The 24,910-nt window shown below is 41.0% G+C and overlaps 1 protein-coding gene across 15 annotated transcripts in view; it reads right to left on the bottom strand.

Annotated features, from left to right (window-relative positions):
- The window catches only part of MTM1 (myotubularin 1), a 110,491-nt gene continuing 101,203 nt past the window's right edge, over nt 15,623-24,910 (bottom strand). For 11 of the 15 annotated variants that reach the window (XM_047442132.1, XM_011531172.2, XM_047442133.1 and 8 more), the window contains one exon: nt 15,623-17,338. In XM_047442132.1, coding sequence (XP_047298088.1) covers nt 17,171-17,338 — 168 coding nt within the window. In that variant the 3' untranslated portion in view covers nt 15,623-17,170. The remainder of the gene's footprint in view (nt 17,339-24,910) is intronic. The other 4 variants (NM_001376906.1, XM_047442137.1, XM_047442136.1 and 1 more) reach the window with 1 other exon arrangement.

Here is a 24,910-nt window from a genome sequence, read left to right as displayed (position 1 = left end):
GTTTTCAAAATTACACGCATGAAAATGACTTGGGACATCAATTAATGTGCAGATTCATGAGCTTCACCACAGAGAATCTGAAAATTTAGTAGTTAGCTAGGGTGGGTGCTAAGAATCCACATTTGATAAAGCACCTCAAGTGATTCTGATATACATGGTTTGAGGACCACACTTTGAGAAACCCTGTTAGAGGTGACAAGGAGCCACAGCAAGATCTTGGAAAGGGGTGAACTGATCATATTTCCACTCCAGAAAGATCACTAGGATTGCATGATGGAGGATGGACTGGAGGGGCAAGAGTGGCCGTGAGAAGGTCAGTTAAGAAGTTGTTGTCATAATCAAGGAAGACCTGATGCATGAACCCTAACATTGGACAGGACTCAGTGACTGATGGAATGTTGGACATGAAGTGAGGAGGGAAGGAGATGCCAACGTGGGCCAAGCCTGGCACTGAGGTTTCAGACTTGGAAAACTGGGTAAAGGAGATATTAGCCACTGATAAAAGGAATCCAAGATGACAAGCAGGTGGGAGAGGTCAGTGACCAGGATGAATTCATTCTAGACATGTTGAGCTTGACCCACCCTAAGTCCAAGCCCATAAGTTGCCTTTGTGTATATTAGAAAAAAGAAAACCCTTCCTAACAACACTGGACTTCTGTTAGTCATAAAATTGTCATAGTATAACCAATTTTGTTAAAGCTCAACCTTTGGCTGCCATATGCCAAGAGACTGCCATAATAGACCTAGAAATCTATGTGGACCTCATTCTGAAGGATCCCTGTCTTAGTCTGTTTGTGCTGCTACAACAAAATACCACAGACTGGGTAATTTAGAAACAATAGATAACAATAGATATTTATTTCTCACAAGTTCTGGAGGCTGGGATGTGAAACATCAAACCTCTCGCTGGTCTGGGCCTGGTCTCTCTGCTTCCAAAATGATGCCTTTGTTGCTACATTCTTCAGAGAGGAGAAACGCTGTGTCCTCACATGGCAGAAGGTAAAAGGGTGAACACCTTCTGTTAAGCCCTTTTATAAGGGCACTGAATCTCATTCATGAGGACAAGCCCTCATGACTTAATCACTTCCCAGCAGGCCCCAACTCTTAACACCACCACCATGGGGATCAAATTTCAACAAGTGAATACTGGGGACATTCAGACCATAGCAGTCCCCCTTAGATGTGGCCCCCTTGTGCACTTCACAACCTGTGCAACAATGCATAGCAGTCTTGGGGGGTACCTATGGGTATCCAAGTGGAGATGTCCAGTAGACAGTTGGAAAGGAACTCAGGAAAGAGAGGTAATAAAAAGTTGGCTAATTTTCGTAAAATTTGAGGACAGAGGAACTCTTTGTAATTTAACCTTCAGCTTCACGATTTGGAAACTACGGTTGGGATCATCACTTTCATTTCTTGAAAACAAATTAAGCAAATGAAAGTGGACCTGATCGTCCCTTGTAAAATAAATTTCTCAAAAACATAATTTTGCTAGGACTGAGCAAAGCTAATCCTCAATGGAATTACATGTGACTGCACTGCAGAGAAATGTTCCCATCATTTGGAGGGTTTGTAGTGTCAGCTCAAAAGAGCAGGGCTTCTGCCCTTATGAATGGGTTAGTGGATTATCATGGGAGTGGAATTGGTGGCTTTACAAGAAGAGGAAGAGAGGCCTGAGCAAGTACGCCTAGCTTCCTCACCATATGAGGCCCTGCACTGCCTTGGGATGCAACAGCGTTCCCACCAGGAAGAAGGCTCTCACCAGATACGGCCCCCTGACCTATGACTTCTCAGCCTCCAGAATTGTAAGAAAAAATTTATTTTCTTTATAAATTATCTAGTTTCAGGTCTTCTGTTGTAAGCAACAGAAAATGGACTAAAACAATAAACTACAGAAAAAGCACCACAGATGACTTAACTTTGCCTTTAGAAGTTATCTGGAAGGTTCTCAGCCACAAGTTCAATTATTGGCAAGGCTAAAGGATGCCTCGGGAGGCTTTTGCCTTCACCACCCCCATCATCTCCACCATTCTTTGATGTTGAGATTCCTGTATCCTCAGTCTTATGACAGGTGCTCTACAATGCAGTGTCAAGCTCACCTTCACACAGAGACTGCGGTCCAGAGACCTCATACTCTCAAAGCTCCAGAGACTCCACTTGCCTCAACCTGGCAAGCATATTTCAGAGACACACTTTTTGCCCCACTCAGTAAACACATAAATTTCTCCCAGATAAATTCCCTTAAGGCAGCCACATTTAAGCAAGCAGCTGAGATATAGTGGTCTGCAAAGGAGGGAGAAGAGTCCAAAATAGGAGGAGGTCCAGGAGATGAGGTTGTCAATGAAGTCAAAGGAAGAACATTGTCTTCAGAATCAATCTTGACCTTGGGTGCCTGGGTGGAAAGTGATGCCAGTCCCTGAGATTAAAAAATAAAAATAAAGAATAAAAAAAGAAAGAGAAGCTATTTGAAGTGGAAGAGCCTGTAACATGTCCAGGAGTGACGGGGTAGATGGGTCTGGTGCCCAGGAGAAAGGCCGGGCTACAGATTTCAGCCTAAAGGTGTAAAACCTCGAGAGGCAGAACTGGCTAGCTGTGTAATGTGTAGGGCCCAGGGCAAAATGAAAAATGCAGGGTACCTTGTTCAAAAGTATTACAAATTTCCAGATGGTGATAGGAAAGCATTGAATCAGGAATGGGGCCTTTCTAAGCATGGGGCCCTGTGTGAGTGCACAGGCCAAACACCCATGAAGTTGGCCCTGATGAGAATGTGTAAATTTGCCTGGGGAAAACATGTAAAATGAGAAGACAAGTGAGCCAAGGAGACATACTAGATCATTGGCACTGACAGGGCAGGTGAAAGAAGAGCGGCCCGGGAAGAGCTCGGGGGGTTGGCAGAGACAAGCAAAGAGTCAGGGCAGAGGGGGCATGGGAGCCAAGAAAGTCAAGAGTTCTAAGATGGAAAGAGTGATCCAGAGTGTCAAGTGTTGCTGGGACATCTGGTAAGACAAAGAAGTGTTCCCTGGATTTGACTGCAAGGAGGTGGTGTGGACTCTGCTGAGAGCACTCCCAAGGGACAGAAATGTCTGGGAGGGCAAAAAGAGAGACAGTGAGTTCAGACCACCTAGTCACAGGTTTTGAGTTGCATGGACCAATAAAATGAAAACAAAACCGAGACCCACTGTTGTTGTTGTTGTTGCCATTGTTCTTGTTGCCATTGTTGTGTGCCAGGACCATAACATATGACTGCCAAGTAAGGACTGTGTACATGAGGCTCCATCTTTGAGAACCAATGTTGAAGCCTTCCATTGCCCTGCTTGCCAAGTAGATGTCAGCTGGAGTTAGGGGGATCCTTTTCATCCTGAGCACCACCACATGGGGCTCACCAAAAGTGGGGAGAAAAACACACAGTCTCTTTGCCACCTATGCAGACAGCCGTCAACTCAGTCTGGGCTTGGGCAGTGATGCTTTGCAGCCCTAGGGTGGACTGGGCAGCAGGAGACCTGGACTCCAAAGCTGGACTGCTTTGTAAGGCCTTCAGCGCAGAGTTTTAACACTCTTGTTTGAATGTTAGAGATTTTTCAAACGCTAGAGATATTCACATTCAAATATAAGTTAAAACATCAGATATTATATATGGATTATCCATTTCTCTAAGTCTGAAATAGCATAGTAATTGACTTGATGTAATTAGAGGCTGAAATTTATAGACAGTAACCATCAGGTCTTAGGAGAGGTGTGCAGATGTGTTTAGGGATGAGAAAGATAAATGCTTTTCTTGGATGAGATTTTGAGTCCATTGGAGAAGCAGGAGCATGGACTATATTTTCCATTCTTTATTTTCAATCTTTGTGTATCTTTATAGGTGAAGTGTGTTTCTTGTAAGCAATAGTTTCTTGTAGGGTCTTGTTTTTTCATCCATTCAGTCACTCTATGTCTTTTGATTACAGAGTTTAGTCCATTTGCATTCAATGTTATTATCGATAAGTGAGGACTACTCTTGTCATTTTGTAATTTGTTTGCTGTTTGTTTTGTGGTGTTTTCTTCCTTCTTTCCTGTCTTCCTTCCTTCTTTCCTTTAAGTGAAGGTGATTTTCTCTGGTGGTATGATTTAATTTCTTGCTTTTTTTACATTTTGCGTATTTGTTGTATATTTTTACATTTGAGGTTACCATGAGGCTTGCAAATACTATGTGATAATCCATTATTTTAAGCTGATGAGAACTTAGCACTGATTGCATAAACAAATAAACAAACAAGCAAAAAGAGAACTAATAAAAACTCTACATTTTAACTTTATCTGCCTGTTTTTAAACTTTCTATTGTTTCCCTTTGCCTTATTGTATTGCCTATGTCTTGAAAAGTTACAGTTATTATTTTTGATTTATTCATTGTTTAGTCTTTCTACTTGAGTGTTTTACACACCACACAGTCTTATAATATTCTGTGTTTTTCTTTGTGCTATTACCAGTGAGTTTTGTACCTTTAGATAATCCCTTATTGCTCATTAATATCCTTTTCTCTCAGATTGAAGAACTCCCTTTAGCATTTCTTATAGGACAGGTCTGGTGTTCATGAAATCGCTCAGCTTTTGTTTGTCTGGGAAGATCTTTATTTCTCCTTCATGCTTAAAGGATATTTTCGCTGGATATTCTATTCTAGCATTAAAGTTGTATTCCTTTAGCACTTTAAATACGCTATGCCACACTCTCCTGGCCTGTAAGGTTTGCACTGAAGAGTCTGCTGCTGGACTTATTTGGGCTCCACTGTATGTTATTTGTTTCTATTCTCTTACTGCTTTTAGGATTCTTTCTTAATGTTTGATCTTTGGGCGTTTGATTATTAAATGCTTTGACGTGGTTTTCTTTGGGATGATACATGCATGGGCCTAGCTCAAAAGAAAGCATGTGCATAGGAGCCCAGCAACAGAGAAAGCAAGCTGTGCTCTGGAGGAGGCAAAAAGATGAGGCACCCCAGAATCTGGAAGATAAAACTTTTTTCTCCTCTGGTCTCTCTCTCTCTAGCGCCCTCTACTGACAAGGATTTACATTATGCCAGCTGGTAAGAAATATTTACAAAGCCCATCTCCATTATCACAGAGCAGTTAAAGGAGGATGCCTTTGGAGCTGAGAATGCATTGATAAGTGGCGTGGACACTCACAGACTTACTGGGTTGAAAGAAACGCTAATCTAATGTCTTCCTATTTCCAATCCACATCCCACTTGATGATTGAATTCCTCCTACGAAATCCTACCAGGCAGTGCTTCTACAGGTGTAGGGCCAAAGAAAGAAATCTCTACATTTAAAGCCTATTTATGTCCAGAGTATCAATCAATACAACACACCTTTCCAAAAGGAGCTAACTCTGTAATCAGTGATTAATTCTTTCAATGACATCTATTTAAGGATGCAATTTGACCAATATGTAGGTATTGCCTGAAATAGTCATTTCTAAACACTTGGCACTGGGCCAGCTGCACAAAATTACCTGGGGTGCCTTTAAAAAAATTAATAGACCTTTCTTTGTGTAGTTTTAGGTTTCGGAAAAATTGAGTGGAAATTATAGAGAATTCCCATATACCCTCTCACAGTACGCCCCACCCCCCGTCCCAGTTTCCTTATTATCAACATCTTGCATTAGTGTGGTACACAAGTTACAATTGATGACCCAATATTGACACATTATTATTAACTCAAGTCCACCGTTTACATTAGGGTTCATTCTTTGTGTTGTACATTCTATGGGTTTTGACAAATACATGGTAATGGCATGTATCCACCATTATAGTATCATAAACAATGGTTTCTGGTTTCAGTGCTCTAAAAATCCCCGGTGCTCCACATACTCATCCCTCCCTCTTTTCCTCCCTCCCTCTCCCTGAACCCCTGGCAACCACTGGCCTTTTTACTGTCTCTACAGTTTTGCCTTTTCCAGAATGTCACATAGTTGGAATCATACAGTATATAGCCTTTTCACATTGGCTTCTTTCACTTAGCAATATGCACTTAAGTTTCCTCCATGTGTTTTAATGGCTTGATAGGCTCATTTCCTTTTAGTGCTGAATAACATTTCATTGTCTGAATGTACCATAGTTTTGTTTACCCATTCACCTATTGAAGAAGATTTTCACTGCTACCAACTTGTGGCAACTAAGTGACAAACATGGGGCATCTGCTGGAAACGTTTGTGTGAAGGATTTGCCTAGACATAAGTTTTCAATTCATTTGGATAAATGCCAAGGAGCATGGTTGCTGGGTCATATGGTAAGGCTATGTCTAGCTTTGTAAGAAACTAAACTGTCTTCCAAAGTGTCCGTGCCATTTTGCATTCCCACCAGCAATGAATGGGAGTTTCTGTTGCTCCACATTCTCTTTTTTTTTTTTTTTTTTTTTTTTTTTTTGAGACGGAGTCTTGCTCTGTCGCCCAGGCTGGAGTGCAGTGGTGCGATCTCGGCTCACTGCAAGCTCCACCTCCCGGGTTCACGCCATTCTCCTGCCTCAGCCTCCCGAGTAGCTGGGACCACAGGCACCCGCCAGCATGCCCGGCTAATTTTTTTGTATTTTTAGTAGAGACGGGGTTTCACCGTGTTGGCCAGGATGGTCTCGATCTCCTGACCTCGTGATCCGCCCGCCTCGGCCTCCCAAAGTGCTGGGATTACAGGCGTGAGCCACCGCGCCCGGCCCTGTTGCTCCACATTCTCACCAGTATTTCATGTCGTTGGTGCTTTGGATTTGGCCATTCTAATAGGTGTGTAGTGGTATCTCATTGCTGTCTTAATTTGCATTTCCCTGATGACATACGATGTGAAGCATGTTGTCATATGCTTATTTGCCATCTGTAGATCTTCCTTGGTGAGGTGTCTGTTAGTCTTTTGGCCATTTTTAAATTGTGTTGTGTTTATTGTTGAGTTTGAAGGGTTCTTTTTATATTTTGGATAACAGTCCTTATCGAATATGTGTTTTGCAAAGATTTCTTCCCAATCTGCAACTTGTCTTGTCATTCTCTTAAGTATTTTTCACAGAAGTTTTAAATTTTAATGTGGCCCATTTTGTTAATTTTTTCTTTCAAAGATTGTGTTTGAGCTTTATATCTAAACACTCATTGTCAAAGTCAAGATCACCTAGATTTTATTTCTTTAAAGATAATTTTCATATTCATTTTTATAATCTGCCTCCAGCAATGTTCTAGTACATTTTTAATTATCAGCTCTCTGAAGAAAGACAAAGCCTTTATTTGTAGCATTTGCTCATTTCTGTGGTGTAACTCTTCCCAGCTTGGCCGATTTCAAAGTACCACCTTGACATCACTGAATACAGAATTAGGAAGAGATGCTCACAGTTGTCTCTGACCAACCTATATAAGCCAACTGCAGCAGAATGACTGCTTGTGTCTGATAATTTGAATAATCTGAAGTCTTACAAGTCGTTTTCTGCTTTTTTGTTTCTATTGATGTTCGCTGAAGGCTTTCTGTCTGCTATTTTTCACTGAGAGATGTTCAATTTCTTTGAAAAATGATTTGCGAGAATTCTTAGAGGCTGCGATAAAGGTGTGTTCCTCCATAGAGCATTTGCTTCCACCAGGCACCTGGGGGCACCACAAGACTGGTGCCTGAGGATTTTTGAACTACTGAGGTGAAGTGAATTTGAACTATACTGGAAAGCCTGCTAGTGAGCACCACTTCTCAGGGACATTTGAATCTTCTTCCCTCTCCTCTGCTCTGGGCCAAACAGTTTTCCTTACAGGCCTCTGCTATCGTGGGTATAGTGGGAGTGTGTAAGAACGTCGAGGTAATCAGGCATGAACTCCCTCAAATTCCCCCTTGTGTTCATACCCTATGGTTGCTGTAACAGATTACCCAAGCTTAGTGGCTTCAACAACATACATTTATTATCTCACTAATTATTATTAATATTATATTAATCATTTATTATTTCTGGGGATGAAAGTCCAACCCAGGTCTCACTGGGCTAAACTCAAGGTGTGGGCAGGGCTGTGTTCCTTCTGGAGGCTTTAGAGAAAAATCTGTTCCCTGTCTTTTCCAGCTTCTAGAGGCTGCGCGGTCCTTGGCTCCTGGCCCCTTGCTCCATCTTCAAAGCCAGCATGGCCAGTCGTCTTTCTCTCATGGCATGGCTATGACTCTGAAGTCTCTTCCACCTCCAGCTTCCACTTTTAAAGAGCCTTGTAATGACATTGGGTTCACCTCAATAATCCAGATGATCTCCTCATATAAGGGTCAGCTAGTATCACAACCTTAATTCTATCTGCTACCTTAATTCCCCTTTGCTATGTAACCTCACATATTCACAGGTTCTGGAGATTAGGACATGGACATCTTTGAGGAACCATTATTCCCTCCATCAGTGTTTCTTCATCTGCACCCACCCTCCTCTTCTCTAGTTGCTGAGGAAGAGGAGTCCTTTCTGTTGTGCAAAGCAAATCCCCCTCTGTGTCCTTGGGCTCTTCCCCACTCTGAGGCCTTGTTCAATCAGGTAACAGCTCCCTCTTCTCTATGCAATCTCTCATTCGCCACTGGCTTCTTCCCGATGTATGATCCCAAGAAAGTCTCTTCCTTTCAAAAGCCCATTCTGTCTGTCTCATTTCTCAACAGTTATTATCCAATCTCTCGCCTTTCTTTCTTTTTTTTTTTTACTGTCAATCTTTTTTATTATTTATTTATTTTTAAATTTTATTATTATTATACTTTAAGTTTTAGGGTACATGTGCACAACGTTCAGGTTTGTTACGTATGTATACATATGCCATGTTGGTGTGCTGCACCCATTAACTCGTCATTTAGCATTAGGTATATCTCCTAATGCTATCCTCCCCCTCCCCCCACTCTCACCTTTCATTATAGCAAACCCTCTAGAAAGAGAATCCCACTCTTGTGTACCCTTCGTGCATTCACTCACTAATTCATGCATTCAAATAAATATATATATTTTGCACCTACCATGTGCCAGGCAGCCTATTGGGCATTGTAGCTAAAAACAAGGCAGCTTAGAGTGCAGTGAAAAAGAAAGACATTCATTTCAACAAAGTATGGCAAGTGCAATAGTAGGAGAGGTATAAGGCCCTGAGGGAGCATAGAGCGCTGGGACCTAAGATAGTATTGAAGGGAGGGGCACTGGGGAAGAGTGCCATAATCAAGTCGCATTTAAACTGATAGGGCTCACAGGTACTTGTTGAATAAATGACTGCAGGAGGTGGGGCTATTCCTCTTCAGTTTCTCTTTTCTCTTCACTGTTACACGGCCCTTGCCCTAGGACCTAGAACACAGGCCATCGCATCTTTTTGCAGCTTAGTGGTGCTAAAGCAGACCCTGGTGCCAAAATAATAGTTTCTCAAACTGGGTGCGCTTCCGGCCTTTTGCACCCCTTAGCTGCTTGAGCTAGAATCCTGGCTGGTGACTTTTAACTCGCTGTTCTTTGACTTCTGCCTCAATGAAAGAGCTCTTGCGAATGTCCTCCAGGGACGTCTTACTTTCCAAATTGACTGGACATTTTTTTTTATCCTTGATTCACCAGATCTCCCATGCTAAGCACTCACTCCTTGAAATTATCCTTCTTTTACCTTCCATGATGCAACTGTTTGCTTCTGCACTTATCTGACCTTCCTTCTCCATCTCATCCCAAGTCTCCTCTTCCTCTGTCTGTCCCGTACAATCTGGAGTTGGGGCGTGCCACTTTTCTCCATTTACTTGCATGGGCAATGTCATCTACTTCCATAGTTTTATCCCCAAATCTGTGTTTCCGACTTCTTTTGTGAGCTTCAGAGCTAAACTTAACCACATCTTGGACACCTGTTCTCCTCACATTCAGCATATCCCAAACTGGCCTCAGCATTGCTCTAGACTCGATCCTCTCCTGATATCCTCTATTTCTGAAAATTATACCACTTGCCAACCAATTGCAGCCACCAGCAACTTCAGTACCATCTTTGACTTCTTTCTTGTCTCTTTTTTTCAGTCACAAACTTAAAAAAAAATTTTTTTTTCAATCTCCATCTCTACTTGTCTCTATTCCAGGCTCAGTTCTCCCCATCTGGTCAACTACATCAGCCTCAAACTTGCCTTTCTGTCCCCAGCCTTGCCACCCTAAAATCCATCTCCCACCCATGACCCCCAAGGCACTCCATGACTTGCCCCTGCCTGCGTCTCAGTCATCTTTTGCCAGGCCCGTTCACATTACGACTCAGGAATACCTGCTTGCTTTGAGTTCCACAAATGCTGCATCCTACTTAATGCACCATTTGCTTCTGCTCATAGTGTTCCCTTCTATGGTGATGGTTTCTTTGCTTTTCTTTGCTGTTTTACCACACATACATCCCAAAACATGAATTTAGTTTGTTTTTGAACTTATATGAATGGAATAATATTGTATACAGTGGTTCCCCCCTTACCTGAGGTTTCTCTTTCCATGGTTTCAGTTACCCATGATAAACAATGGTCTGAAAATATTACAGTATTTCAAGAGGGGAAGAGTGGGAGAGAAAGGGAGAGAACACAGTTATGTAATTTTTATCACAGCATATTGTTATAATTGTTCTATTTTGTTATTAACTACTGTTAATTTCTTACTGTGTCTAATTTATAAATTAAACTTTATCATAGTTATGTGTATATAGGAAAGAAACATAGTATATATAGGGTTTGGTACTATCTGTGGTTTCAAGCATCCATTCGGGGTGTTGGAACATATCCCCCATGGATAAGGGGGAGCTACTTTATATTCTTTTGTACCTGGCATCTTTTAGTTAACATGCTTATGAGATTCAACTGTGTTGCATGTAGCTGTGGTTTGATCATTTATCCTGGGCGTGTAGTATTCCATTATGCTAGGGATGGTGTTGAATCTGTATATTGCCTTGGGTAGTATGACCCTTTTTAATAATATTAATTCTTTCAATCCATTAGCATGGGATATCTTTCCATTTATTTGTGTCTTCTTCAATTTCTTATTATTAGAGTTTTACAGTTTTCAGTGTTCAGAGCTTTCACCCTCCTGGCAAAATTTCTAAGCATTCTATTCCTAAGCATTCTATTCTTTTTGATGCCATTGTAAATGGGATTGTTCCCTTGATCTCTTTTTTGGATAGGTTGTTATTTGTGTACAGAAATGCAACCGGTTTTTGTACATTGATTTTTCTATCCTGAAACTTCACTGAATTCATCTACTAGTTCTAACAGCTTTTTTGTGTGTGGAGTCTTTTGGGTTTCCTACATATAGGATCATGTCATCTCCAAATAGAGATAATTTTGGGCCAGGCACAGTGGCTCACGCCTGTAATCCCAGCACTTTGTGAGGCTGAGGTGGGCAGATCACTTCAGGAGTTTGAGACCAGCATGGGTAACATAGTGAAACCCCGTCTCTACAAAAAATACAAAAAAAAAATAGCTGGGCTTGGTAGTGCATGCCTGTAGTCCCAGCTACTTGAGGGGCTGAGGCAGGAGGATTGTTTGTGCCCAGGAGGCCAAGGCTGCAGTGTGCTATGATTACGCTGCTGCACTCCAGTCTAGGTGACAAAGTGAGACCCTGCCTCAAAGAAAAATAAAAACAGAGATAATTTTACTTACTTTCTGATTTGTATGCCTTTTAGTTTTCTTGTCTGATTGCTCTTGCCAGTTCTTCCAATACTATGTTTTGTTTTTGTTTTCAGAGACAGGGTGCAGTCTCTGAAATTGCTCTGTCATTCAAGCTGTAATGCAGTGGTGCAATCATAGCTCACTGCAGCCTCAAATTCCTGGGCTCAAGCAAATTCCTGGGCTCAGCCTCAAATTCCTGCCTCAGCCTCCTGAGTAGCTGGAGCTACAGGTACACACCACCATACCTGGCTTTTTTTTAAGTAGAGACAGGATCTTGCTATATTGCCCAGGTTGGTCTCCAACTCCTAGCCTCAAGTGATCTCCTTGCCTCGGTCTCCCAAAGTGTTGGGATTACAGGCATGAGCCACTGCACCTGGCACTGTGTACTACGTTGAATAGAAGTGGCAAGAGTGAGCTTCTTTGCCTTGTACTGGATCTTAGGGGAAAAGCCTTTAATTGTTCCCCATTGACTACGTTAGCTGTGGGTTTTTCATAAATGGCTTTTATTATGTTGATAAACTTTTTAAATATAAACTATCAAGAGTTTTTATCATAAAAGAAAGGATGCTAAACTTTGTGAAATGGTTTTCCACATCAATTGAGATGATTTTATGGTTTTTATCTTTCATTGTGTTAATGTGGTATATTACATTGATTTATATGTTAAACCAGCCTTGCATGTCTACTTAGCTTCCAAGGCTCAGTTCTGACAATATTGCCAAGAAGTTCCTCCCTAGTTCCCTATACTGGCCCAGAAGTCCACCATCTGTCTCTATCCTTGCAGGCAGCACCCTGCTTGGAAATTACTGGTTAACTGGATTGTCTTCCCACTAAGCCAGATGCTCCTTGAAGGAGCCTACTGTTTTATTTATTTGTATTTCGACAGCTGGCACGGGTCTGTGTTATAATAGAAAATATTTGTTGAAGTGATCTTACTTTAAATAAAAAATACTTCTGGCTCTGAGCCTCTCTCATTTGTAAAATGACCAAAAAATTATGATCAATTTTATAAGGTTATGGGGAGGCTAAATAGTACAGTGTTTGGCACATATGGCCCAAATTAATAGCTCCCTTTCTTCCATTTAGAGACCAAGGGAGTTGAAGTACATGGTCTGGGGCTTTGGATAGAAGCAACAATAGAAATAGAGAATAAAACTGAAGGCAACTGTAAGTGTAAATTTTGTCTGAGATATAAGGAAATGAACTAGTCATTTACCTAATTATAATTGCATAGCTTGTAATAGGAAAGCCTAGCAGTGTCTGATTTCTCACCTTGCATACTCTCTGACCATCCAAAGCTAAAGGAACTGAGGTGTGGTAGGCACCATAATGCACCCCCACACACAAGTTGCCCACAGCCCAATCCCCAGAACCCGTGAATATGTTACAAGACAAGAAGGAATTAAGGTTGCCAATTAGCTGACCCTGAGACGGGTAGATTATTCTAGGCTATACAGATGGGCCCAATGTATCACAAAGGTCCTTAAAAGTCAAAGAGGGAGGCAAAAAGAGAGTCAGAGACTTGAAGATGTTCTGCTGCTGGCTTTGGAGATGGAGGAAGAGGCCATGGCATCAAGGAATGCAGGTGGCCACGAGAAGCTGGAAAAAGCAAGGAGAAGAATTCTTCCCTTGAGCTACCAGAAGGAACACAGCCTTGCCAACATCTTGATTTTAACCGTGAGACCCATTTCAGACTTTTGGCCTCTAGAATTTTAAGATAATGCATTTGTGTCTTAAGAAGTCACTAAGTTCGTGAGGATTTCTTACAGAAGAAACAGGAAACTCATGAGGCAAATGCCATCTTGTGTGATAAATATTTCACATGCACATGTGATTAAAATGCATTTTTGAGAACACCAAAACTTACTCTTCTCCAACTGTAACTTTGCACCCATTGACCAACTTCTCCTGGTACCTTCTTTCCCACTACCCTCCTCAGTCTCTGGTAACTATTCTATTCTCTATTACTATGAGATCAACTTTTTAAGATTCCACATGTAAGTGAGGCCATACAGTGTTTGTTTTTCTGCGCCTGGCTTATATGCATACATTGAAACATCACATTTTACCTCATAAGTACGTACAATTACAATGTGTCAGTTATAAATTTTAAAAAAATTAAAAAGGTGAATCTCTGCATGAAATGTCATTAAAAATGCATTTCTGAGAAGGGCTGTGTTTCAGTTGTAAGGAAACTTTGAGAACGTGCAGCCCACACCCTCACTGAGCAGATGGAGGCTGAGGCCTTCTCCATATCTGTAGCATCTGGGAGCTAGGAGGACTTCACTCACATCTTTCCTTCAGGAAATAGGGCCACAAGTCAGTGCTGGTGCCGATGAGAACCCTGGTTTCCACACATCCCATCCAGGATTCTAATATAGCTTTGTGATACAGAGTTCATAAAATGTAAGCAACTTTTATAATTTGCATGGAAGCCACTGTGAAACAATTTCAGAACCACTGTAAATGAATAAGCAGCGCTCTCAAAAGCCGGAGAAACAAACTGCTAAGGCTTAATGGTCGTGTCTAAGCATTGAACCACTTTATGTGTTTAAAATATGTTATCACCTTCGATTTTAAAGGAGAAATTGCAAATAAGAACTAATCCATGTCTGAATCTAAGCCTCATAAGAAAGTGAGAATACTGCATTTTACTACCCTTTCCTCTTCCAAGTATGTTCAATATGGAAGGAAGACCTTGATAACAACCCCTTAACTTTAAATCTACCAATGAAGTTTGGCATGTCAGACTACTTCAAATATTGGTATTCTAGCTTCATACTGGTAGTGGTTCTGTAAACCTAAAAAATTCAACTGAAATGTAGTTCAACCATGTAACGCTTTTCTGCAAATATGCCATTATTCTTGTTTGTGGGGTGCGCACTGCATACATTTCCCATTTCTCTCGGGTGTCCCCTTTTGCTTTAATGGCCACCAGTGGGTGCATCCTCCAGTAACAGCTGTATACACTCTTTAATACATTCCCACATTAAGAATTTCCTTTTAGACAGTCCTGCTTTTGCCTAATGTACCCAAATGCCACAAGAGTTGTCTGAATGACACCATAGAGCTGCATTATGCAAGTGACAAGATACTACTCAGCTTATTCTGAGACTTTTTGAATATTATTCCCTCCAAGAAAGCAAAAGGATAAGCTTTGCTGCATTATCAAAAACAGGTCAGAAAGTGCTATGACTATATTTAGAAACAAAACCTATACTAAAAAGTATATGATTCCGAATTATTTGAAGAGTTGTCCCAGGAAGAGAGGTTCTTTCAATTTCAATGAAGAAGGCAGAGCTCAGGCCATTCAGTGGGAACTCAAATGTAGACTTCAGGCTAACACCAGTATGAAACTTGTGGTGGTGCTGTAGGACGTGGGGCATGTCAGTGAACGCCTGCAACAACAGCATTCTCCTCAGTCGAAAAATAGGGGTAACAGAATGCCCCCTAGCTCATAAGGTCCTAGTGAGGGTTCAATGAGGCAATGTCTGAGGAAGGACTTCACAAAGCACTTCAAATACTCATCGTTATGAAAGATACACTTAGTCATTTAAGAGTCCTATTCTGATTTTTTTTCTTTAAGCTCTGTTCCACGTGATCTATTCTGATTGCCAAAAAATGGTCAATTTTAGTTTACTGCTACAACTATTCAGCATTCTTAGAACGTACATATGTAAACGACATAATCTCCAACTGGCAATATTGTTTGAAGAATTTTAAAAATTCTTACCTAATGAGACGTCAACTATGGCTTATTTAACCAGTATCTTCGCATCCCTTACTATCAACTGCTGTGTTCCCTATTCAGAGCCTGGAGTTTTGCGCGTTCACTTTTGCAAAAGCCATCCTCATAGACAGTCGTGACTCTTAAAATCTGCACTGTTTAATACACTTAAATGCCCAATCTTGCTGAAATTTTGGGAGAGCCCTGCAAGGTTGCCGGTGAGATAAAAAGTACATGAAGCAGACCCGGGCAAAGAAATCAGATGGCCACCATGCACATTTCCAACACATGCACACTCACAGCCCTGAAAACAGTGTTAGGTTTCAGTTAATACATTTATTACAGCAGGTCTTTAGTCATTATTGCCATTAAAAAGTTTTCATGAAATTTCACAAAATCTTTTAGGCTATTAGTATTAGCTTTCTTTTTATGGAGTGACACTTTGTTAATTTATGAAATATTTACAGCATTTACAAAAAGTAAGAGAATGTCTAATAAAATTTCTTATACTTACAAAATTCATACATTATACTACTGTATTTGAGATGTCTTACTTGGTAGACCAATTAAACTATGACATAAAATAATTTACAAAGATATATTTAATCTTTCTTAATTCATTGAAAACAAAACCATATTAGTTATAAATAGTCCTTTACAAATCATTGTAAAACACTTCATTGTTTTAACTCGAGCCTTAGCTTTTACAAATATACTTAATAAATGAATTAGTTCAGATAGCAAATAGAACTGTGCATTTAAAATTTCACTTAATACTATAAAACAAAACAACCTGAAAAAGCAAACGGCCTGGTACTTCAAGTAAAAATTTGTAGAACCAGTTTTTATGCACGCGTGGGGTGGGGAGGGGAAGCCAACACCATTGAAATTGAAATGCATAAACACAATACTTTCAAGAATACGCTCAACACATGTACATCTGGGGCACTGATTTCTAAGGATGATGCTCTAGCAATAGCTCATGCATCCAAGACGGTAGCCCTACATTTTGGCAGATGAGCTGGACTGACTAGAGCAACATTTGCGAAAACATTCCCCTAAGCAGCAGGATGCTCCCGACATCCTTGGACAGTGCTCTCTTTGGGGTTTGCCACAACCCGAAAACCATTCCGAATTTTAGGCAAGCTCATGAAAGAATTTAGAAAATAAAACTGGCAAATTTAAAAAATGCAAATCATATTTAACTGGGCCCTGTCAGTTTTTTAAAAATATAAAAATAGGCTTCTCTGGAAAATTAGGGGAAAACATTTTCTACCCCTAAATTTCCAAATAATGAAAAACTCATCTATACAGCTATTTCTCCTTAAGTCACCACTCATGATGGTATAAAAGCTGGCAATTACTTAAACACCTTGCTTTTGGGTAATGCCTAGGAAGCTGAGCTCAATTTGGTTTTGGCAGTAACATGCATCTTTCACATTTGGATTCATCTTAGAGAATCCAAAGCAACTGTTAAGCAGCTTCAGGAAAATCCATTCCACAAACATATATCCCCTTTGATTTTAAAATAATGTTGTTTCAATTAAGCCCACAAAATATATATTGTATATATAGTATTTCTCAAGACGTAAATTAAATCTAAATTTTGTCTTTCAAAAACTGCTTTTTAAAGGTGTCAGGGTTTTCCAAAACCTCATCTCAGCTCCTTTCTTCTGATTGCCGTGTGGACCCTGTAGTTTTCTTGTAATATGTATTCTAGAAGGCACATATTCAAGAGTTTAAGATTATGTTAGTTCAAGTTCTACATGGAGGCAAATATTTTAATCTACTTTTTACAAATGCCCCAAATGAAAGTCAGCTATCGCCTTTATTTCGAGCTCTAATGCGGTGCCAGGGTCCCCCCTCAGAAGTGAGTTTGCACATGGGGCATCATTTGCGAAGGACTGGAAGGTGAAGTTGGGGGATCAGAAAGCTTGGCAGAGTTGGCGAGCTGCAGTTCCTCAAGCCGCTTTATGTATTCGTCGCGTAAGGCTAAGAGCTCCATGTAACGCTGCTCCACTGGATTCGGCTGCTGGAGAGAACCAGAGACTTGAGTTACACTTTATGCCACGCACGTCATGAGAACTCACGTGTTCCACCCATCTGCTGTGACTGCTGATTTGTAAATAAGCCCTTTACTCAAAGTTTACCATAATACATACTTTCCTTAACTACTGCCTCATTGACACATACAGGAAAGTACAACACAGAGTACTAAACACCCAAGTACTAAGTATTTGTTCACCAAGAAATACCTAATGTACACATTTCCTCACACGTGTCACTATCTTTGAAAATGTGTCAGCCGAGACACAGCTCCAGTCTCCCGTGTTGCCCGTCCCAGACCCACTGTCCTCTTTCACTCTGAGGGACAACTCTTCTCAAGTTGCCATGTGACCTTCCTTTTTGTGCAGATTTGTGACACTTTTCCTGTGAGTATCCAGCAACAAAATACAGTATTACTTTGTGTTTTATCAAAGTTTACATCACTGGTACCATCTGGTATTTATCAATTGACATTTTGACCCAACATGTTTTCTGAATTTCATCCTTGTTAAGTTGCATTGAAGGAATAAACCAGTTTCTCCACCCCTTCCCAGGCTGATGGGTAATCAGTGATTTCCAGGGCTCCTCGGTAGTGTGTTCAATGCTGTACTGAGTATCCTTGTACACATCTCCTCAAGCACATATGCGAGTGTTTCTCTAAGGAATTTTCCTAGGGGTGGAACTGCTGAGAAGTAGAATATGGTCTTTTCAACCTCACCAGATGCTGCCAAATTGCCTGCAGAGAGGCTCCTGCTGGTGATACCTGGCAGTTCCCATTGTTCTGCATTCTCACTAGAACTTGGGAGCATACGATTATTATTCTTTTTTCCAATTTGAGGGCTGTGACATGGTATGTCACGGTAGTTTTCGTTTGTATTGCTCTGCTAGAACATCTTTTCATGTGCTTATTGCCCATCTGAATACATGGCTGACAGCCATAGCGGCTCTGCAATGCTCCGCCTTGGGTATGAATGCTGGGTTTGCCCCCTCACCTTCTGTGTGCCTCCATTTCCCTATCTGTAAAATGGGAATCAAAACAGCATAGCCCTCACATGGCATTGTGTGAGTGAAGTGAGTTAATAGCATCTGTTTTGCTACAATGGTGACTACTTTGATGAGTAAACAAGGGATTGATGTTGATACAAAGGCAGAAGTCAGGCTGGAGCATAACGTGACTCTCCCAGCATGTTAAGTTTTAAAAGTTTTGTACTGAGATATAAACCACACACAGTGCAAAATCTTCAGATGTTCAGCTCAGTGAATCTTGACATACGTATACATTTAGGTAATCACACCCAGGTCAAGATATACAACAGAACAGTACTCCAGAAAGTTAATGTTTTGAAGGGATCAGGGGCAAGCACTTTCTAGAAAGCTTAAGCAATATATGAAGACCTTAATGTAAAACCCAAAACCATGAAAACCCTAGAAGAAAACCTAGGCAATACCATTCAGGACATAGGCATGGGGAAAGACTTCATGACAAAAACACCAAAAACAATTGCAACAAAAGCCAAAATTGACAAATGGGATCTAATTAAACTAAAGAGCTTCTGCACAGCAAAAGAAACTAGCATCAGAGTGAACAGGCAATCTATAGAATAAGAGAAAATTTTTGCAATCTACTCATCTGACAAAGGTCTAATATTCAGAATTTACAAGGAACTTAAACATATTTATAAAAATAAAAGATAAACAACCCCATCAGAAAGTAGGCAAAGGATATGAACAGACACTTCTCAAAAGAAGACACACAATGCGGCCAACAAAGATATGAAAAAAAGCTCATCATCACTGATCATCAGAGAAATGCAAATCAAAACCGCAGTGAGATACCATCTCATGCCAGTCAGAATGGCGATTATTAAAAAGTCAGGAAATGATAGATGCTGGCGAGGCTGTGGAGAAACAGGAACACTTTTACACTGTTGGTGGGAGTGTAAATTAGTTCAACCATTGTGGAAGACAGTGTGGCGATTCCTCAAGGATCTAGAACCAGACATACCGTTAGACCCAGCAATCCCATTATACTCAAAGGAATATAAATCATTCTACTATAAAGACACATGCACACATGTTTACTGCAGCACTATTTACAATAGCAAAGACATAGAACCAACCCAAATGCCCATCAGTGATAGACTGGATAAAGAAAATGCAGTACATATACACCATGGAATACTATGCAGCCATAAAAAGGAATGAGATCATGTCCTTTGCAGGGACATGGATGCAGCTGGAAGCCATCATCCTCATCAAACTAACACAGCAACAGAAAACCAAACACTGCATGTTCTCACTCATAAGTGGGAGGTGAACATTGAGAACACATGGACACAGAGAGGGGAACACACACACCAGGGCCTGTTGGGGAGTGGGGGGTGAGGGGAGGGAACTTAGAGGATGGATCAATAGGTGCAGCAAACCACTATGGCACACGTATACCTATGTAACAAACCTGCACGTTCTGCACATGTATCCCCCCACCCTTTTTTTTAGAAGAAAGAAAAGAAAAAAAAAGAAAAAAGCCAAACGTCTACAGAAGTGCCTTCCACATGTAGTGGTTTCCAGAACCATCCTGCTTTCTACTGTGTTGAACTATTTGCTGAAGCTGTGCACACCAACAAGGAAGCTGTGAAGACAATGCACTGATGAAGAATGCTGCGGTTTAGTATTACGTTTCTGTTTTTTTTTTAAAGAGACAGGGTCTCACTTTGTTGCCAGGCTGGAGTGCAGTGCAATCGTAGCTCAGCAAAATCTTGAACACTGTAACCTCGAACTCCTGGGCTCAGGCGATCCTCCTGCCTCAGCTGGCCAAGTAGCTAGGACTGCAAGCATGCACTGCCATGCCTGGCTACTTAAAACATTTTTTTTTTTTTTTTTGTAGAGATGGAGGAGGGGGTCTCACTATGTTGCCTAGGCTGGTCTCGAATTTCTGGGCTCAGGTGATCCTCCTGCCTTAGCCTACCAAAGTGCAGAGATTGCAGATGTGAGCCACTGTATCTGGCCTGGATCCAATTTTTAATGTTCAGGAGAATGGTCTCTATTAGAAGCAGACACTTTCTAGAACCTGTATCCTAGAGAAGGGAGCATGAGCCATGAGGTTGCCCTAAAAAATTTAACACAAACTTGCGTGGCTTTTAAAACAACAGAAATTTACTCTCTGATGGTTCTGCAGGGCAGATGCCCCAAATTAGGGTGTCAGCAGGGCCATACACCCTCTGGAGGCTTTAGGGGAGAATTCTTTTTCACCTCTTCCAGCTTCTAGTGGCTCCAGGTGTTCCTTGGCTTATGGCAGCATCGCTGCAATCTCTGCCTGTTTTCACATGGCCTTCTCTCCTCTATGTCTGGGTCTCAAATCTTCCCCTCCTTTCTCTTAGGAGGACATCTGTCATTGGATTTAGGGCCCACCCACCCTAAATCTAGAATGATCTCATCTTGAGATCCTAAACTTAATCACAACTGCAAAGATCCTTTTCCCAAATATGGTCACATTCACAGGCTGTGGGTCGCTGTCCTTTGGGGGACACACCATTCTACCCACTACAGGCAGCCAAGGCGTGAATCAGCTAAAGCCAGGTACAAATGCAGCAGACATGGAACCGTGCCCACATTTCTACTGCGATTGCTGCTTTCATTAGTGCTCTGGTTACAAAGGCCCATAGGATTGCAGAAGCCTCTTAATCCCATTCTCCCTATGATCACTGTGACTTTTAGTGTGTGGCCTGGCAGTGGAAGCTTTTCAAAAATGCATATATAGCATTACGCTTGGTAGAATGCCTAACACCCAGTAAGTGCTGTGGGATGCTTGCTAATATCCTTTGCCCATTTTTCTCTTAAAATTCAACTGAGGGCCAGACACTGTTCTAGGTGCTCAGGATCCAGCAGTGAACAAAGGAGGCCCAAATACCTATTTTTATGGCCTTTATCTTCTAGCAGGGGGAGACGGACAAACAACGAACATAACGATCCTGGGAGTTTCACAGAATGTTTGAAGGTGATCAATTCTACAGAAGACTAGAGCAGGGTAACAGGATTCCACTCTAAACTGGATGGTCAGAGTGAGCTGCACTGAAGAGGTGACTTTTGGGGAAAGACTTAAGGGAGATGAAGGAGGGCGTCAAGTGGATACCTGAGTGCCTGAAGAAGAGCAGAGGCCAGTCTGGCTGAAGCTGAGCATGTGAGAAAGGTTGTTGGTGAGGATGCCAGGAGGTCACAGAGGTAAGGGGTGGGGTGGCAGTCACACGAGGTTTCAGAGACCATTGTAAGGACTTGCGCCTTGACTCTGGGTGAGGTGAGCAGCTACCTGGCCAGTTTCTAGCAGGCGAGTGGCATGATCTGCTTTGGCTGCCATGCTGAGAAGAGTAGAAAGAAGTAAAGGTAGCATCAGGGGGTCCAGCTAGAAGGTTATCGCTGCCACACACGGGAGATGGCAGGCAGCACACACCAGCATGGTGGTGGGAGCTCAGTGAGAAGTGCTTGGACTCTAGCTGTGTTTTGAAGGCAGAGCCCAAGAAGCTCTCCTGACAGATTGATTGGACATGGGGTGTGGGAGAGAAAGGTGTCAAGGATGACTCTAAGGTTCCTGACCAGGGCGACTAGGCTGGCGCTACCACGAACTGAAATGGGGAAGATGGCAGGAGGAGGAGGTTTTGGGGGAAACATGAGGAGTTCTGTTTTGACATGTTAACTTTCATTTCCAGTCCCAGCACCATTTACTGAACATTCCACTCATAGGGATGTGTTACATTGCCACCTTCTTACTATTCCAAGTCTCCACATTGACGCAGGTCTGTTTCTGGGCTCTACTCTGTTCCAAATAAGTCTTGCTATATAGCAGGGCAGGTTCTTCCTTGATATTCTCCTCCAAAACTGTGGCTATTTTTAAAACCTCCCTTTGAAATATGAGTATTAGAATTTAGAATCAGCTTGAATATTACAATGAGCATGTGCAATTAGATAAGAAAAAGAAATCGGGTAACAGTAATTTTTGCAGATGGCATGACTGTATCATCAGAAAACTGAAAAGAGTAAACAGAAAAACTGTTAGAAATAAAAAGATAATTCAGTCAAGTAATGGGTATAAAATATATAGAAGTTATTGGGCTACAGACAAACACAAACCACTTAGAGCAGGTAAAAGAAGAGAAGAGTCCATTTGTGATAGAATACAAAGACAACAAGAAATGAAAACTTCAAGCCAAGTGACAAAATATTATACCTCAACTTCTCACTTGGGAAATGAATTATAAAGTATGTCTCAGCTTGGCATGGAAAAGAAGATAGGCAATCAGCTCATTATGGAAGTATTGTAGGCTTCAAACAATTTTCATATTCATATCCCTTTAAATTTTTCTATCAAAAATGACTGAAACAAATGCCACACAGGTCAACCTGCTAATATTTGTCCTGAATCTCATCCTTCAGTTACCACTATATAAAATTTCAGTACATCCAGTGTAACCCTGATTAACAGCTACATGGAATGCAGTGGTTCCTAGAGTACCGTATGATGGTCACTGGCAGCCAAAATTCCTACTCAGGTTTGTAATATGACTATGCTTTTGACATGAGTAATTTCCTTGTATTAAATAAAAGTACCAGATCTGCTTATTGATAGCTTTTCAAATGTAAGCATTGGTCTTTCCATAAACTCTGCTGAGATTTTATGTCAGCAAGGGTTGGTGGCTTTTGCTTTTAAAAGCACACTAATCCTGCCTTCTTTGAGGCTAACAGCTCATTATGAGGCTGTATATTCTTTTGTATCTTTCAACATTGATAGTATACCACCATAGTGCTGTGAATACTACAGGTGGCCAGTAATTGTTTGAATACCTTCTGGCTCACACAACTGAATAACAATTTAACTTTTAAGTGGTTAAGTACATTCTTTTAGGTTTATATTATGTACTTTTAAAAGTCCTATGCGATTTAATCTATTTCTGTATGAAATAATGTTCTACATAAGCAGATCTTTAAGCAAACCTAATGTACTTAATTCATACTTTTATTCTTACACTTATCCCTGTGCATTATAACCATTGGCTTATGTTTCTGGCCGCCCCTACCAGCTTGGGAGCTACTCATGGGCGGAGACCATTTCTTCTTAATCTCTGCATCCCCCTAGTGCCTGACGCATGAGAACATTCAATATTTGGTAGATGAAAACACAAAGTGCCTAGGGAGATAAAGATGTGTGTAGGATCCTTCATATTCAGAAAATCCACATAGAAAGGATAAGTTATTTCTTTTCTGAATTCATGCCAATAGATCATAATATAGGCCAATTCCTGTCTCGAAGTAAAAACCCCTACCAGAGAATGAGCACTCCTCTCCAGGCCAGTTCCATTTTGCCAAGATCTGTGAGACTAAGGGGGATAAATACATTCTAAGAAGTTCTTCTAATGATGTACCCTCAAACTTGACCTGTCACACAATTATCATTATTACCTTTAGGAATTCAGAAATGAACTGCTCCAAATTCCTTGAATTTCAAGAATTTCTCCAAGTACAAATGGGTGAGAAGAGATTACAGGACTTACACAAAAACTGTCCGTACTTTCTCATTGCCAATATTTTAAAAACAAGCCATGACAAATATGGAAAAGGCTTATTTTATAGGACAAACACAGTGCTCATCTATAAAAACATTTTTTAATAAGGAACACATCTCTTGTAAAAGCAGTTAGAATTCTGTAAGGATTATTATTTATTCTTTACTTGATATTCCAAAATGCTAGAACTACTGTTAAATAAATTCCTCCCATGTGCTTCTCAAATTCCAAACTAAACAAGTGAATGTTCTCAAGCCCTGGAATCTGTCACTTTCCAAAAGAATACACATTTCAACCATTACCAAATTGCAAAAGCCTTTCACGTGAGTAGCACAGACCTTGAAATGAGGGTGCCAGCTTGAAATGGGCACTTCTCCAGTGAGGAGGTAGGGCACAGACTGGCATGCAGCCAACTGCCTGAGAGGAATGAACAATCTGAGAGAGAGGCCACAGCTATGGGACCCTGCTGTGGCCAGCCTATTTCTGGCATTAAAGCTGGTGCTTATGCAAGACTGAACTGTGAGAACAGGTAGTCGACCACCCACACTGCAGGAAAATGTGCAAACCTTTACAAAGAACCATCACAAATACTGAATATTTATAATGCTTAGAACAAATCAATAAACTGAAGTACTGCAGGCTGTTTTTCCTTCTGATTATGGATGGAGTGGAGGTGGGAGAATGGAAAGCCCAAGTGTGTCTTTAACAAAATGTAGAGTCTTTCACTTCAAACTCATTGTTTCCATTTTTGTTTGATAAATGGCCAACTGAATTTACTACCATTGACAGAGTAATTATCTTTATTTTAGAAGTAAATACCCTCAGTGAAAAGCAATCTGATGTTAGCTGATCTAGTGCATACACCTGAATGAGAGTAGCAAACATTTTCTTAACAGGATCATCTAAGTCTAGTCAATGTAAAGAATTTTCAAACAATGTCTATATAATGAATAACTACTTCAAGTGATCAAAGGAAATCTCTGGCTATGAAAACTCAAATTTTC

This window comes from Homo sapiens, chromosome X (assembly GCF_000001405.40).
Source record: "Homo sapiens chromosome X, GRCh38.p14 Primary Assembly".
In the NCBI taxonomy this organism is placed as follows: Eukaryota; Metazoa; Chordata; class Mammalia; order Primates; family Hominidae; genus Homo; species Homo sapiens.
The sequence above is the reverse complement of the archived record's forward strand: the minus strand, read 5'-3'. Positions and strand labels throughout refer to the sequence as shown.